Raw genomic sequence first — 15,870 nt, forward strand, 5'->3', positions numbered from 1 at the left:
AAAACATTTTCTTCTCTTACACAGGAGCCAGATCACCACTGTTTCCATCCTATTAATATACAGGCAAAATAAATACAACTTGTTTTTGTGAACTTGCCTGTTTTCTTGATTGCATTTTGTGGTTCCTGGTGTATTTTATATTACTTTCTGAATCAGCCTACCCCTACTCCTCTCTCCAGCCCTACCACATCTTGTATTTATAAGCAGTGGGTGCTTCCATCCCTGTCTCAGACAGCTGAAGACAGAGTGAGAGCAATAACAGGTATACTGATTTGCAGCACTTTGTGTAAGCTGAGGGCTGCCCCAAATGCCCCCATCAAAAGGCATCAGCCTAAATGGGAAAAAATGTGTCTTCTTCAATCCCCCTGAAGTTCCCCTCAATGATTTTCTGTTCTGCAATGACATTTCCAGTCAAAGAGGCCAAAGAGATAAAACTGCTGACCTAAAGACTTTTTCTTCTGCTCCTGGGGGCAGTCTGGGCACAAATTCACAGAGTGCGCAGTGGGGAAGTGAAATTGATGGTGCCAAACAGCATCATCTAAACAAGCAGAACCCAGAGGGGGACATGAAAACGTCCAGCTTCCTTTATGGCTGTGAGACATGGACCAGTCGTGGCGTCTATGATGTCATATTTTAACCATCCCATCTGAACTGTTGAGCAGTTTCATCTGTGTCACCACTGAGCCAGACTTAACACTAAATAGTGAGAGGGTTTCCAACAACCTTGACTTCCAGGGCAGACGTTCTCTCACTAGAGGACCAAGTTGGTGTGACATGTGATCCTGTGTGGGAGCCAGCAGGGAGGCTTAACTGCAGATCTATGGGCAGCCGAGGCACTGACAATAAACACAGTCACCAGTGGTGGATTGCCGGGAAACTCCCTCTCCCATGAGGGCAGCTGGAATTCTGAAGCCCGGCTCAAACATTCCCAGAATTAGTCACCACCAGGGACAGTCTCTAAAAGGTGCTCTGAAAATGAAAGATAACCTTCCCAGGAGACATTATGGAAGACAGTCAGAGGATCACAGTCCCCACAGATGAACTGAACAATACCACCAGGGTTTCAGCTCCAAACCCTCCATACCAGAGAGCCCTAGCTCAAAGCAGTGCTTACCAAGCTTCAGACCTGGGGTGCCACCTTTGTGATATTTGCCATGTCCGATACCTCCTCTGATGTTTAATTTTATGTTTCAACTAGATTGGGCCGTGGGTGCCCAGTTATTTGGTTAAACATTATTCTAAGTGTTTCTGTGAGGGTGTTTTTGGAAGAGATTAATATTTGAACTGGTGGACTGAGTAAAGCAGATGGCAACCCACACGTGGGGGGACTTCACCCAATCCATCGAAGGCCTGAAAAGAACAAAAAGGCTGACCCTCCGTGGGGTAAGAGGGACCTCCCCCTGCCTGACTCCCTTCCAGCAGGGACATTTTCTTTTCTGCCTTTAGACTCAAACTAAAACATGAGCTCTTCTTGGGTCTCATGTCTGCTGGCTTTTGAACTGAATTATACCATAGACTCCCCTGCATCTCCAGCTTCCAATCACAGATCTCGGGACTTCTCGGCCTCCATAATCATTTGACCAACTCCTTATAGTAGAGCTCTTTACACACAGACACATACACACACACACACACACACACACACACACACACATACCCTATTGGTTCTGTTTCTCTGGAGAACCCTAACTAGTACACCTCCTGCATTCCTAATATTTACTAAATCTTTAAATGGTCTATTTAAATAAATACATTTTAATGAAACTTTATGTCACATTTATAAATTCAAATCATGTTTATTGTTAAAAATATAAATATAGGCTGGGCATGGTGGCTCATGCTTATAGTCCCAGCACTTTGGAAGGTGGAGGCAGGAGGATGGCTTGAGTTCAGGAGTTCGAGACCAGCCTGGCAACATGATGAAACCCCGTCTCTACCAAAAATACAAAAAATTAGCTCAGGGTGGTGGTGGGCATCTGTAATTCCAGTTACTTGGGAAGCTGAGGTGGGAGGATGGCTTGAGCCTGGGAGGCAGAGGCTGCAGTGAGCTGAGATCGTGCTACTACACTCCAGCCTGGGTGACAGAGTGAGACGCCATCTCAAAAAAATTATATATATATATATATATATATATATATATATATATATATATATATATATATAAAACTGTAAAATTAAATACATATTAAAATAACAGTGTCCGCTGAAAACACGCTTCAGATGGTGTGACTGGATACATTTTGAAGCTGGAGGTGGGGAATGGTTTACAGAATGGTCATGGAACAAAACTTCTCTCTCTCATTTCAATCTCTACCAAATGGAGGTCAACTATATTTTATAGCGAATCTTTGGCTACTTTTTCGGGAGGAAGATCGTTCTTCCTTAGGCATCAAAAATAAGGCACAATACAACAGAAAGAATGCCATGACTACATGCTGCGGTTATCAGTCGCTGCTTTAAAAACAAGTTCAAACTTGGTAGCTTCTCATAGCTCACCATTTTGTGAGTCAGGAATTCAGAGAGGCTTGCCTGGGCAGTTTGTCTGTGGTCAGTGTGGCAGCAGCTAGGGTGGCTGGGACTTGGTGGTCCACATCCAGGATGGGTTCTTCACCCATGTGTCTGATCTCTCCATGTCTCCTGCCTCTTTCTCTCTGTGTCTCTTCCTACGGAGCCTCTCCATGTGCCTTTGGCTTCTCACTGCATGGCAGCCTCAGGGCAGTGGTGCCCAGGGCAGTCCCGTGGTGACTCAGGGTTCCAAGAGCTAGCATCCAAAGACCCAGTAGAGCTGCAAGGCTCCATATATCCATCCTGGAAGGTCACTTCCACCAATCCTAAGAGCCAAGCAACACATGCCAGTCAAGGAGAGGGGAGTTAGACCCCACATCTCCATGGAAGGAATGTCAAAGAATTTGTAGCCATCTTTATTCCCTTACCTCGTTCTTACGTATTGAACAAGGAGAAAGTCCTCAGAATGGGGTTTCAACATCATGGATAAAAAAGTTAACCGTGGAGCCACTTAATTCAAGTGGCAGGTCAGACTGGAAAAAAGGTGTGAGTTTTAGAGTCAGACACACCTGAATTTGAGACCCAGTTATACCACTTAACAGGTGATCTTGGTACAGTTGTTTAAGCTCACTGAATCTCTGCCTTTTGGCCTGTGACATGGAATGGTGATGTTTCTGGGCTGCTGTGTGGATACCCACAATGTCTGCAACATCACAGTCCCTCAGTAGTGTTAATCATTTTAAGCCAACCTACAGAAGAGTGAGGATTTTACAAACATGTTTTTTTGTTTGTTTGTTTGTTTTTAAGACAGGATCTTACTCTGTCACCCAGGCTGGAGTGCAGTGGCACAATCTTGGCCCACTGCAACCTTCACCTCCCAGGTTCAAGAGATTCTCATGCCTCAGCCTCCCAAGTAGCTGGGATTACAGGTGTGTGCCACCACACTCGGCTAATTTTTGTATTTTTAGTAGAGACGGGGTTTCGCCACATTGGCCAGGCTGGTCTCGAGCTCTTGGCCTCAAGTGATCCACCGCCTTCGGCCTCCCAAAGTGCTGGGATTACGAGCGTGAGCCACCGTGCCAGGCCGTACAAAGGTGCTTTCTAAAATACCATATATGTGATAAAAACCTATGCATAATCTGAAGGAGACTGACACATGATAGAAAGGGTCTTCTCATTTAGCTTAAAACTACAGTTTTCAGAAGAAATTCACTAGCAAGCATCTTCCTAGAATGTTAAGGGCACCCCAAAGTTCCTACCATGATCTTTGAGAGGGCTCTGCATAGTGATCATGTAGGAAACTGGCAAAACAGAACCATCTTTTTTCTAAGCCTTAATTAATCAGAGTGTTCGGGGAGGCAGGAGAAGGTAAAATGACTGGCAGCTCTGATCCACAGGTGCTCAACAGTGATGGTAACAGCTTCTGCAGAGGGGCATTTTGGAAATGTGTCAGTGATGGTTGTATCTGATACAATGCTGGGGGCAGAGTGGGCATTCCTGCCACTTAGAGGGCAGAGACCAGGGATGCTGGGTGTCCCTCAGTGGATGGAGCAGTCCCACACAATGAAAGCATTGTCTTGCCATATAGAAATACCCGGCTTTTCTGAACCTGGGACTAACTTATTTTACAAAAAAGCAATATGTATTTCTGCTCAGCTGTAATAGACACTTTACACTTTATTTTCCAGGAATGCCATTAGTGCATAAATCAAAGGAAGACTGTTTATTTTCTTCAGAATTCCAAGAGTTGTGTATCATTTTGGAAAATCACACCACCCGCAGCAGCTCATGTTATCTGAGTCACCAATCCCACTCCTCTGACTTCAACTGCATTGGAGGGGTGGCCCAACCTGAGCTTCTTGGGGCAGGTGTCAGCCCCTGATCACTTCTTTCTGTTGCCCAGAGGCGGGTGCCTGCGTTGGAAGTAATCAGCAAATACTTTGTCTCATTCTTCTTTATATTTCAGTTATGACATTATATTAATTTTTCTTAAAAATTATGGGTGTGAGTGAGTCATATTATCCAGGAATTTCACCTCAGAATTGTAAACCAGGTGCTTGAATATATTTGCAATAAAAATGGGGGTTGGGTCTGACAGGCCTAAAAGCTTACTGCTTTAAAAGAAATTTTCTATGGATCAAAAATGCCTTTCGAAGTGGAAACACCAGGGAATCATTTCCTTTCTGGAACCTGCCGGACCTGCAGCAGCCCTGCCAGGCAGAGCAGGAGAGGCTGGCGCTACAGCATGAAAGAGCTCTTTCTCTTCAGCCCTCACAGGTGAAAAGACACGGACGCCCCGGCCACTGCTCAAACCAAAGGAGGAAAGACTCACAGACTCCTAGGGCCATGTGGCCCTCAATAAGTTAGTTATGTATAATATAAGCCTCAGTTTCCCCATTTGTATGTTGGCAGTAAAAGTAGCCCCTCCTGTATTGACTTCCTGTGTGGATCAAACACGATAAGTAAGATAAACCATGTTTCATGCTTCCCTCCACATCCCTGAGCACATAATGCTCAATTGATGCAAATGTGTATTATCATCCATACAGCATTTATGGTTTACAAAGCCCTTTTCCACATACTGTTTCCTTTGAACCATTCAGCAGTGGGGACTGACAGGAAGAACATCTCCAGGGAGGAGAGGAGGCTCGGGGATGCCATGATACTTGCCCTAGGTCACACTGGTGGCCATGAAAATGGCTTTTCTGAACTGGAATCCGTGCGGTTCCATTTAGATGGATTCTGTGCAGCTCTGAAGACACAAGTAGGCTCTCAGAGGAGGAAGAAGCTACTGGAGAAGAAAGGTAGGAAACTGCTAACAACTGGAGCTTGCTAACAATGGAAGGATAGAGTCCTGTGCTGTCTGCCTCCTTCCAAGACGTTAGCAGGGAATTTGGGCCTTGACCTGGGAGAGAGGCCTTGAAACCCATTCAGTCTAAGAATCCAGGCTTCACTTCGAGATCACTTCTCAGAGTACAGGTTTTTGCTTTTAACTCTTTCCTTGAATGTTAGATGTTTTTCCTTCAAACATATTGTTTCAGTTGTCATTTTAACTTTTCCACAGATGAGTGAGCTAGCTGGAAAATGGTCTGGGACTTCAGTGGCACCATGGTTTCAGCATAAATTCTCCTTACTCTGTTTTAAATCTGCACTCTCAGGGATGAGAAAGAAAACCCCTGAAACTGATGTTCGATTCACAAAGTACACACACAGAACACAGGAAATCTCTGCCAAAGCGTGGCCTGGGTTTTCTTAACTTTGTCCTGGAAGTTCCGTAACCTGTGTTATCTGCTGTTAAAAATTTACAGGGACCAGCTGGGTCTTTGGTCCAATGGAATTTTTTTTTTCTTCAGGCATGGAAATGTCAAATATAGTCATAAAAACAATGACCTAGCCTGTACCCAGAAATATGATTTCTAAACAATTATACTTCCAGTTAATCTCACACTACCGTGGTCCCAAGCCAATGAATAAGAACTCAATTTCTCAGCATTTGACCTGAACAGAGATTTGGGCTGCTTCCAGGGAAATGCATATTAGACAAACCTTTCTGAATGTACCTTTTTCTAGGCCAGGTGCAATGGCTCACGCCTTAATCCCAGCACTTTGGGAGGCCAAGGTGGGCAGATCACCTAACGTCAGGAGCTTGAGACCAGCCTGGGCAACATGGTGAAACCCTGTCTCTACTAAAAATACAAAAATTATCTAGGTGTGGTGGCAGGTGCCTGTAATCCCAGCTTCTTGGGAATCTACTTGAGGCAGGAAAATCTCTTGAACCTGGGAGGCAGAGGCTGCCGTGAGCTGAGATCGCACCACTGTACTCCAGCCTGGGCAACAGAGGAAGACTTCATCTCAAAAAAAAAAAAAAAGAAAAAAAAAAATCACTGAATGTACTTTTTTCTTATTCTACTATCAGATCACTTTTAGTTAATTTATTCTTCTTTACTGGGTTCATGCCAAATGACTTCTAACTAAAAGAGAGGGCCCTAGAAAGAAAGAACCAATCCTCTATACCATCATATCATTGGCCCCCACACATTCTCACACATATCACCTCCCAAATCGAGTACTAACTTCACATCCCTGGAGAGAGCTTATACTCACCTGGTCTCATTAAAGCAACACACGGTTGTACAGTTTCTCACTGTGGGACCAATTAACCATTTCCACATCAGGCACCAACACAACCCCACCATGCTGTTTGCCCTCTTTATTTATGTTAAGTCTCTAGTACTAATTATGTTAAGACACTCAAAACAAGAGCTATATTTTCACACCGTGGATGGTGATTTCGAGCATTAGAACCAGCTTCTTCCCCCCACTGTTTCTATGCTTTGTAATTTGCATACCCAAATTTAAAGCTATCTACAGCTTTCCACTTGAAGTTTTTTTGCAAATGAGGTCTTAAAAGTGATATAGTCGAATATGCTCGGGCACCTTTGGCATCTGAAAGGGAAAATTCCCAATAAAAGGGGCAGTGCGCAGATGGCTGCTGGGTTGACTCCTAAGTCTCAAGGCAAACTCCCCCAGCACAGGCCACAGTGGCAACAGCATGAACCAAATCTTGCTTGAATCCAACAAATGACCACAGATTCCTCACGACTGAAAAAATAACAGAAATCTATTCCCCCAGTGGAATTCATTACTGATCAATAAACCCAATGCATTGTGCAACATTTGTGATTATTCTCTTTGGAATCAACAGCATGTCTTAATAGCTAATTGTTTGATAAAGCCTTGACATCACCAAAATTTCCCAATAATGAGGGCACTAAATCCTAAAGAACTGTGAAGGAAAGAGGTCAGCCTCTTCTTTGGAAGGCCACAAAGAATGAGAATGATTCTTACAGTCCTATAATCACTCAGAAATGGTTAGGCCCAAAGGAATTAAGTTACATGACCTCCAAATCCTGTCTCCAAAACCAAAAGCATGAATGCCCTGGAATAGGCTTTCGCCTTGTGTTTTTCTCTTCGGTTCTTCCTTTCCTCATTCACCAAGGCAGACTGCTTGTCAAAACAGGATTAAAATCCTGAGGCCAGCCCCTGGCCGACTTGAAGTCTGCATCTAAGGCAGGGCCTTAGACATGGCAGCTCCAAGTGTTTCATGGGCCTGGTGAGAGGGGCAGGCCCTGGCTCTAGACACCAGGGAAAAACATACTCCTTAGTGTTCAACCCTGGTTTTCTCATCAGAGCAATGATGTCCCAGGATGACCTGTGGACAAAAGAGGACGGGAGAAGAGAAAATATTTTCTTCAGTTCAAAAGAAAAGGCCCCTATGGTCTATGAGCTGACAGCTGTATGGTACTCATAGCTATTACTGAATCCTTTCTGAACTGCACCGGGGGTACAAGAGGGAGAGTGAAGGTCTAGTGCTCGGTTGGAAGGGAGAAGGAACAGGCTCCCTTCTCTTTGTTTTATCCTACTGCCTCTTTGCTCCATACCACTTTCCCCTGGCTGGATTTAGACCCAGCCAAGTTGAGTATTCATCTTTATGGGAGCCTGCACATGTCTTTAGGATTACTTTCAGGCCATATGTTTCTGTTTTGAAACAATGAGGGCTTCTCTATAATGATCAGCACAGGGAGAGGAAAAGGGCAAGGGCTTTGGTTACCAAATATTCAGCTCCCCAAAGTTGAGTCACCATCGCGGGGCTAAGCAGACAACATCACCACCTTTCAAAGCACAGTGTTGACACTATTTTTTCCTGGCATACTAATTTTCTCATAACAGCCTGCTCCACTCCTCTGCTTCTGTCTTGCATGTTTTCTGGAGAAAGTAAGACCTCCTCAGCCCAGCCAATTTCTCAAAAGGCTAAGACAGCCTGGCTGCAGGAATGTGCAATCATTCTTGAAAATCAGCAATGGTGGGTTGCATTTATCTGATCAAAAAATGCAACTGCCAAAAAAAAAAAAAAAAAAAGCACATCTGCCTCCCCACAAATGAAAATTTAGGTAGCATGTGTCTAAGTTAGTGGCAGAGTAAGAGGAGTTTATATGGTTTCTTATCACTGGACTAAAACACAACTAGTAAAACTGGTATAGTAATAGTCACCCCGGGAAATATGCAATGTGGATATCAAAATCTACTCCCATTACTTCAGAGTGTCAAATGGACTGAGTGGAATGACTTTTCAGCTTAATGCAAAGTGAGAACTGCCACTGGGTAATAAATTCCTTTCTGTCCTAAAATAGTAGCCCAAGAAATAATCATCCCAAGAAGTAAGAGGTGTTTTATCTCCTCCGCGGCAGCAAAGGGCTTCTCCTGATTGCTAAGTGCTGATTTATTCCAGAATGCACAATTGCAGCTTGCTGCTGGTCTCCACCCCATCCGCCTGAAGGCAGGGATGTTCTTGTCTGTGTCAGAACTGCCTGCTTAACCCAGCAGGAAGCCTTGTCACCGGTATTCAGCCCTGGCCACGTCTCTTGGCTGAGAGAAGCAGGAGCCCAGCAATGCTAACATTTGAAAGATCCAGAGGGAAGAGAGGAGGCTGACTTTTGAAGGGATGATCTGCATCCATCACCACTTGCCCTCCAGATGCTATACCCAAATAGCAGTGTCCCTCCTGAGGCTGTCCCTGAATGCCACCCACCAGTGACCAGCCGCACTGGGAGGGGTGTGTGTTTGTGTGTGCGTGTGCGTATGCATGTCTGAGAAGGGCTGTTGTGGGGCAGGCTGCTCTGCAATGCTGAATGCTCCTGTCTGTGCCTCTTCAGACATTAATATATGCAGATCAGAGGAAGCTAAATTCCAAGCCTCTGTAAGCATGTCCAAAATGGCCCTCTTGCCCAAAGCACTTCTTCAAGTCTCAAACTAAAGATCAGCATTTGACAAACCACGGGTGAGAGTTTGCAAAAACATGAAGGAGTGAGCCCTTGCCAGAATTGAAACCAAGACGAGTGCAACAATGAAAAACGCTTAGAACCCACGGGCTGGCAGCCAGGGCGTTCGGACTTGGTATGGGCGTATCAACAAATGCAGGGTTCCCCACAGCGATTTACAGCAGAGACTCTAGTAGAGATTTACAGCAGACTGGAGCACTGCGCTCTTGCAAATGCAGAAGTTTGGGGTGGGGAAAGGTAGAAAAGAAAAAAAAGAAGAAGAAGGAGAAAGTGACATATTCAAATGCGATTCAAACATTCCAAGCTGCTCTTTTGACCTCAGAAATTTTACCACGATTTGGGTGATCCTAATGGTCTGTGGACCACGTTGGAAAATGTCACAATAGATGTTTGAATTAAAATCCAGTAGGTTTGCCAAAAGACCAATTGTTAAAAATTGGCAGCATTCCAGAGAACTTACTAGGCTGTGTACTGCCCCGGGGCTGAGAGAACTGCTAATTCCAGAGAAAGTTAATTATCACCTTATTGATAAAAGGGTAATTTTTAAAGCTTGTGGTGTGGCTTTTGTGACTCATTAATTAAAATTTAGAGTAATTTACTAGATACCCTGGTGGCTTCTGTTATATGATATCTGTACCAAGCCGTTTAATGTCTCTCCCAGGGGCTGATTTAATCCCCCTCTTCTCTCCTCACCTGTCTGCTTTTGAAGGCAATGAAAACATTAAAAAATGTGTAAATCTAAAACTAGCCTTTTGAGAGATGGCAGAATTAAGAAATAAGATGTCTAGGGAGGCATTGTTTAAAAGTTCCTTCTTAGAAACATCAGATGTGCCCACCAAAAGAAAGAAGCTTGTGTGATCACACCAAAGGCAACTGCTTTCACAAACTTCATCCACAAAATGTTAGACAAGATTTTACGCTCCATGATAATCAGATTAAAAGAGGGTCTTTTCTCATCTCCTTTCCCTTCTTTCCCATTCCATCCCCACATAAAATCTGAGGGCTCAGGGGAAGAATGACACTGGAGATGCTTGGTATCCTAAGGCTCCCAGCCCAATGAGGGGTAGTGTCACCTGCCACGCTCTTCAGGACTTGTGGAGTGGGATGGGCACATCCCGGCTCCCTGGCATCTACCCATGTGATATTGAGGTTTCCGAGGGCAGGGACTTGGGGAGGAAAATTGTCCTGCAGATCCCTAACAGGGCCCCTGTGAGGGCTTTCAAGCTCCAGCCACCACCTCTGCCTGGACCAAAAGTTCTTTAAGGTGCGTGTCATAAAGGATGTGTGGACACATGTGTGATGTGTCCTCAGGCCACACAAAATTGTAAACAGACCTACGAAGCACTCTAACATTTAAGCCCCCAGACTCCCAGAAAGGTTATTCCTCTCCGAGCATTCCTTGTTATGATTTCAGGGAACTTCAGTTATGTTTCCTTAAAAGTATTGAAGTATTTGAGATCCAAAATTGAGATTAAAAATACATAAACAGCAGAGATGATTTTCTCATCATTTCAAATTTTAAAAATTAAAAAAGTCTATCTTTGTACTTTGGGGTAGTGCTTGAATTTTTTAATAGGAAAGTGTTACTGAGTATTTTTTTAAAGTCAATATTGTTTTGAACTCTCATTATAAAAGTTCTTGCAGCAAGTGACAGTATTTGGGTCTGGCTTGTTTTCTGTGGGCTGAGCTGCTTAGCTTACCTGCTGCTTGCTAGAGGAGACAGCCTTTCACCCTCACCCCCAGGAGTCAAGAACCAGAAAGTGAAACTGCTTCTGCTGATTTCCCTCGCCTCGAAAACACACCACCAAAAGCAAAGAAATGATGAAAAGCAACTTACTCGTTTCGCTTATTGTTTTCTTGTCTTTCTATTACCGTTCATTTACTCTTTTCTTTTTTTCTTTTCTTTTTTTTTTTTTGCAGCAAAATAAAAGTAATTTTGGGGACACAGGGAAGAAATGTAAACATGTTATACATGAAAGAACTGGATTTTTGTGGGCTTTGCACTTTTGTTATAATTCCACAAATGAAGCAAACTGATGAATTTACCAAAATATTTCAGAGCTCATCTACGTACACAATTTAAAGAGCTAAAGAAAACACATTCATATTTTTTAAAAATTCTGTCAAAAAGCCTGTTTAAAAGTTATAGTTTGTGAAGCCACCAATTTCCCTAAAACTGAAGATTCTACATTAACCTTTTGAGTTTAGACGATCACGCAGTACCGATTTTCTAGGTAATCTTCACCCAGCTGCTGTTGCTCAAACAGCCCCTCATTTTATCAGACTAGTTCTACCAAGCAACACAAAAAATGCTCCACACAAATATTATACCCCCCAGATAGTTTAACACACTAAGAATTCCTTTGTAGTTATTTTTATGCTTTCACTCCAGATATTCTATTTTGCTTTAAAAAAAAAAAAGTGGAGAAAAAAAGCAGCTATATCCCTCATTCTTCAAAAATGGTTCCTCTGGTTGAAAAGAAAGAAAAACAGCATATAACAAATACCCTGATTCTGAAGTGCCTGGATTACTTTCTCAAGTACTGTAGTGTCTGAGATCAGTAAAAAACCACTTTCTCAGAAAGCCACTGATTGTCTAACCCTCATGAGTACCGTCATGGAATCTAGAGACAACACGAGGAGACACCTCTCGTTCACGATCACAGATAGTGGAAAGAACTTTGACTCAAGCACCTCAACTCAGCAAAACAGCTCAGCAGCCTGCACCCTGGCCTCATCCACCGCTCCTGTCCAGCCAGCAATCAACCTGGAGAGGACCCCTCATGCTTTGGGAGGAGCACGTGGAAGCTGGTTCAAGTCACAGTGCTCCACCTGGGAAGGAGGTGATTTTGAGCTTGGGAAAACTGCCGCTAATACTCCATAGTCACCAGTTTTTTTCCCAAAAAACGAATTAAAACCAGAAACTAGCAGTAAATATTATTCTTATTTATGCCTCATAAATTAGGAAAAACCAGCACAAAGACATGTGAAATATTCTACCTGGGATATTTGAAATAAAATTAAATGGGAAAAAAAACACTTTTACATGTTCATAACATACCAATTTTAATAACCAAATTTTAGGTAAATATTTTTATCCCAAGACATAGTACAATTTTTTTAAAATTAAAAAGCAAAACAAAGCAAAATTATCGTGAAGGGAAAAAATAACTAACCGGTTACTTGAGTTCACATTTGGAAAAAAATAACTTTCTAGGTATTTAAATGCAGAGTTAAAGAGTAATGAACATGTATATAGCCCAAATTTATAAACTATATAATTCAATGTTACATTTTCCCCTCTGAGATCTGGTTAATAAATTAAATGCTGTACTTTGCATATGAGGAACTAAAGTTTACCTACTGGACTCAGTGGTTTTAGTGCAGGACACTCTTGTGCGTTGCCATAGAGGTAGGCATGCAACCCAGAAAAAACTGAAACAGGTAACCTGTCATGCTGACAGTTACAAGAGAAAGATCCCGTGTCAACGGCACGCCTCCAATTGTGCATCTCCCTTACCTACAGCTTGTTCACCAGAGCCCTGAGCAGGTTGTTTACCAGGTCGGGAGTGTTGACTCAGAAGACAGATGACTTTCAGCACATGCAAACCGAGTATTGCAAAAGCTATCTTCCACCCGTGTTAGTAGCTCACAGTTAGTCTCCAGCAGCCCTGCGCTCCAGCTGCAAACATCTCATTAGACTAATGCATTCAGCACAGGCAGAAAACTCGATTTACCATAGCTACAGCAATGAATTTCCATTACGATGACAGCTTCAACCACATCATGTCCGGAAAACCAGCCAACCACTGGCTTTTAAAGAACACACACATTTTACATGCAGAAAACGAGGCCTCTGTGTGTGTGTGTGTGTGTGTGTGTGTGTGTGTGTGTGTGTGTGTGTGTGTGTGTTTTGTGTTTCCTTCCTCTTAGCAGCCTAAGAGAAATGTGCAGTGTAGCTTTTTGTCGACATGAGCTGCAAGGTAATGACACTTCTGCTTCTTTGGTAGTTACATCCTTGTAATAACCTGAATTATGTCACAATGGTTAGAATGGGTGTTTCCAACATTTCAGTTTTCATTACCCCTCCTCTGTTGCCATAGAAACCAGACTGTAACATCGTCTCTTTGTCCCAATCCTGCAGCAGTGTGGGCCAACACCAGGCTTATAAGACACTGGTGATCTGACAGAGTGAATGTTTGACTTTGGACAAATAAAACAAAAAGAAATATTACAATAGCATCATTGTTCAGGAGACCCTGTGTGATTCCCAGAGCAGTGTGCCTATCCAGGTGTGTGCACACACCATGGTTGTACATATTAAATCAGCGGCTGCCCACAACATATGTGTACAGTTCATTAAAGCCGGCCCTGACTTTGGCTCCAGGCCTGTATGTGTGTGTGTGTAAGCATCTCTACCCACCTCAACGTGGTGGGACCTGCACAGGATAGAAACAGGGCAAGAGTGACTATTCATTCCCATGCCCCATTGCATTTTCTGCAGCAAATCAATATATATCGGCGAAGGGATCTTTTCTTTTCCTTTCTTTTTGTAAAGTGGAGCAGGGCTCCCCATTGCCCATTTCATCCACTCTGGGATATTGGCATATTCACAGGTATTTCCTACAAGATGAAACATCCATTCTACAAACATGTGGCTTACTCCTAGGGATGAGCAGCAAACAAATTTAGCCGGGACTAAATATCAACCAGGGCTAACGAAGGCTTAGGCCACAACCTGGCCAGTTACTGAGAGTGAAAAAAACTGCAATGGACAACTTGAGGTTTCTCTAAATATATGTGTAGAGTCACATTAGAAGTACATAAGAAATCTCTCCTCTGAAATTTATTATGAAAATATAAAAAATTGTTTTAAGTCAAAGCCTTGTAATTAATTGAGCAAGAAGAAATTCACTACTTTAGTTCATTTAATCATCAAATTTTGTTGTTTTGTATGGGAAAAGGCAGGTTTGGTAGTTTGCATTTTCATTTCATATAAGTTGATTTCACTAAAGAAGGAGGAAGAGGAGAAGAAAAGAAAATAAGATGGATGGGCCAGGTGCAGTGGCTCATGCCTGTAATCCCAGCACTTTGGGAGGCCAAGGCGGGTGGATCACGAGGTCAGGAGATCGAGACCATCCTGTGAATGGTGAAACCCCGTCTCTACTAAAAATACAAAAAATTAGCTGGGCGTGGTGGCGGGCGCCTGTAGTCCCAGCTACTTGGGAGGCTGAGGAGGGAGAATGGCGTGAACCCGGGAGGCGGAGCTCACAGTGAGCCGATACCGTGCCACTGCACTCCAGCCTGGGTGACAGAGCGAGACTCCATCTCAAAAAAAAAAAAAAAAAAAAGAAAATAAGATGGATGGGCTAGGTGTGGTGGCTCATGCCTGTAATCCCAGCATTTTGGGACTCCTGGACTTGAGGTTAGGAGTTCGAGACCAGACTGGCCAACATGGTGAAACCCCATCTCTACTAAAAATACAAAAATTAGCCAGGCTTGGTGGCGCTTGCCTGTAATCCCAGCTACTCGGGAGGCTGAGGCAGGAGAATCGCTTGAACCTGGGAGGGAGAGGTTGCAGTGAGCTGAGATCACGCCATTGCACTCCAGCTTGGGTGACAAGAGTGAAATTCCATCTCAAAAAAAAAGAAAAAAGAAAGAAAAAGAAAAGAAGAAAAGAAAAGAAAAGAAAGAAAAGAAAAAGAAGAAAAGAAAAGGAAAGAAAAGGAAAGAAGATGGATGATTTAAGTTTGGACAGCATCTCTGTCCCAGCGACAGCGGTTATTATACTCACACCCGTGGCCTCACACATGCCACACTACACTGAGCTTAAAGCACCTGGAATGGGCTGAGACATTAGACCAATTTTCACTCTAAAATGTTTCTTAGGATTAAAAAAAATAACATTTCTTAAGTAATCAGAAATAATCTCCAAGTCCTGTAAAAGAAGTAAAAGGGTTGGCAGAATCTACCCATAAGAAAGGAGTTGCTGGTTTTCCTACCCAGCTCTGTGAGGGTTTCTCACTCTGATCCTCAGGCCCAACCTCCTTGCCTCCTCCCAGATGGGCTACTGTTGTCCTTGTCCTCAAGGTGGGTGCATGTGGGAAGCACCCATTGTCATCTAACAGGTCAACTTGGTAATAAAGCCTAAAATTGAAATCAACAAAAGCTGGATTGCTTGGGCGCGGTGGCTCACGCCTGTAATCCCAGCACTTTGGGAGGCTGAGGTGGGCAGATCACAAGGTCAGGAGATCGAGACCATCCTGGCTAACACGGTGAAACCCCGTCTCTACTAAAAATACAAAAAATTAGCTGGGAGTGGTGGCAGGCGCCTGTAGTCCCAGCTACTTGGGAGGCTGAGGCAGGAGAATGGTGTGAACCCGGGAGGCGGAGCTTGCAGTGAGCCGAGATCACGCCACTGCACTACAGCCTGGGCGACAGAGCGAGACTCCGTCTCAAAAAATATATATATTTTTTATATATATGTATATATTTAAGTAAACAATATTTATTTACTTAAATATGT

General features: G+C 43.4%; 1 protein-coding gene across 7 annotated transcripts in view, besides 1 other annotated feature; it reads right to left on the reverse strand.

Moving 5' to 3' along the window:
* SCML4 (Scm polycomb group protein like 4) overlaps window positions 1–15,870 on the reverse strand; it is a 143,885-nt gene that overhangs the window by 109,108 nt on the left and 18,907 nt on the right. For 4 of the 7 annotated variants that reach the window (NM_001286408.2, XM_011535703.3, NM_198081.5 and 1 more), the window contains exon 1: window positions 12,865–13,052. The exons of 1 other annotated variant lie outside the window; for it this stretch is intronic. The gene's annotated coding sequence lies outside the window, so the exon portion shown is untranslated. Of the gene's footprint in view, window positions 1–12,864; window positions 13,053–15,870 lie in introns of those variants that run through there. 2 more of the 7 variants (XM_011535706.2, XM_047418596.1) reach the window with 1 other exon arrangement.
* Window positions 11,135–11,204: an enhancer, noted in NCBI's record as "active region_24908". NCBI's record gives its function as "activates an Ori minimal core promoter by ATAC-STARR-seq in GM12878 lymphoblastoid cells {active_cell/tissue: GM12878}" and the evidence as "EXISTENCE:reporter gene assay evidence [ECO:0000049][PMID:35858748]".

Source organism: Homo sapiens, chromosome 6 (assembly GCF_000001405.40).
Source record: "Homo sapiens chromosome 6, GRCh38.p14 Primary Assembly".
Lineage (NCBI taxonomy): Eukaryota > Metazoa > Chordata > Mammalia > Primates > Hominidae > Homo > Homo sapiens.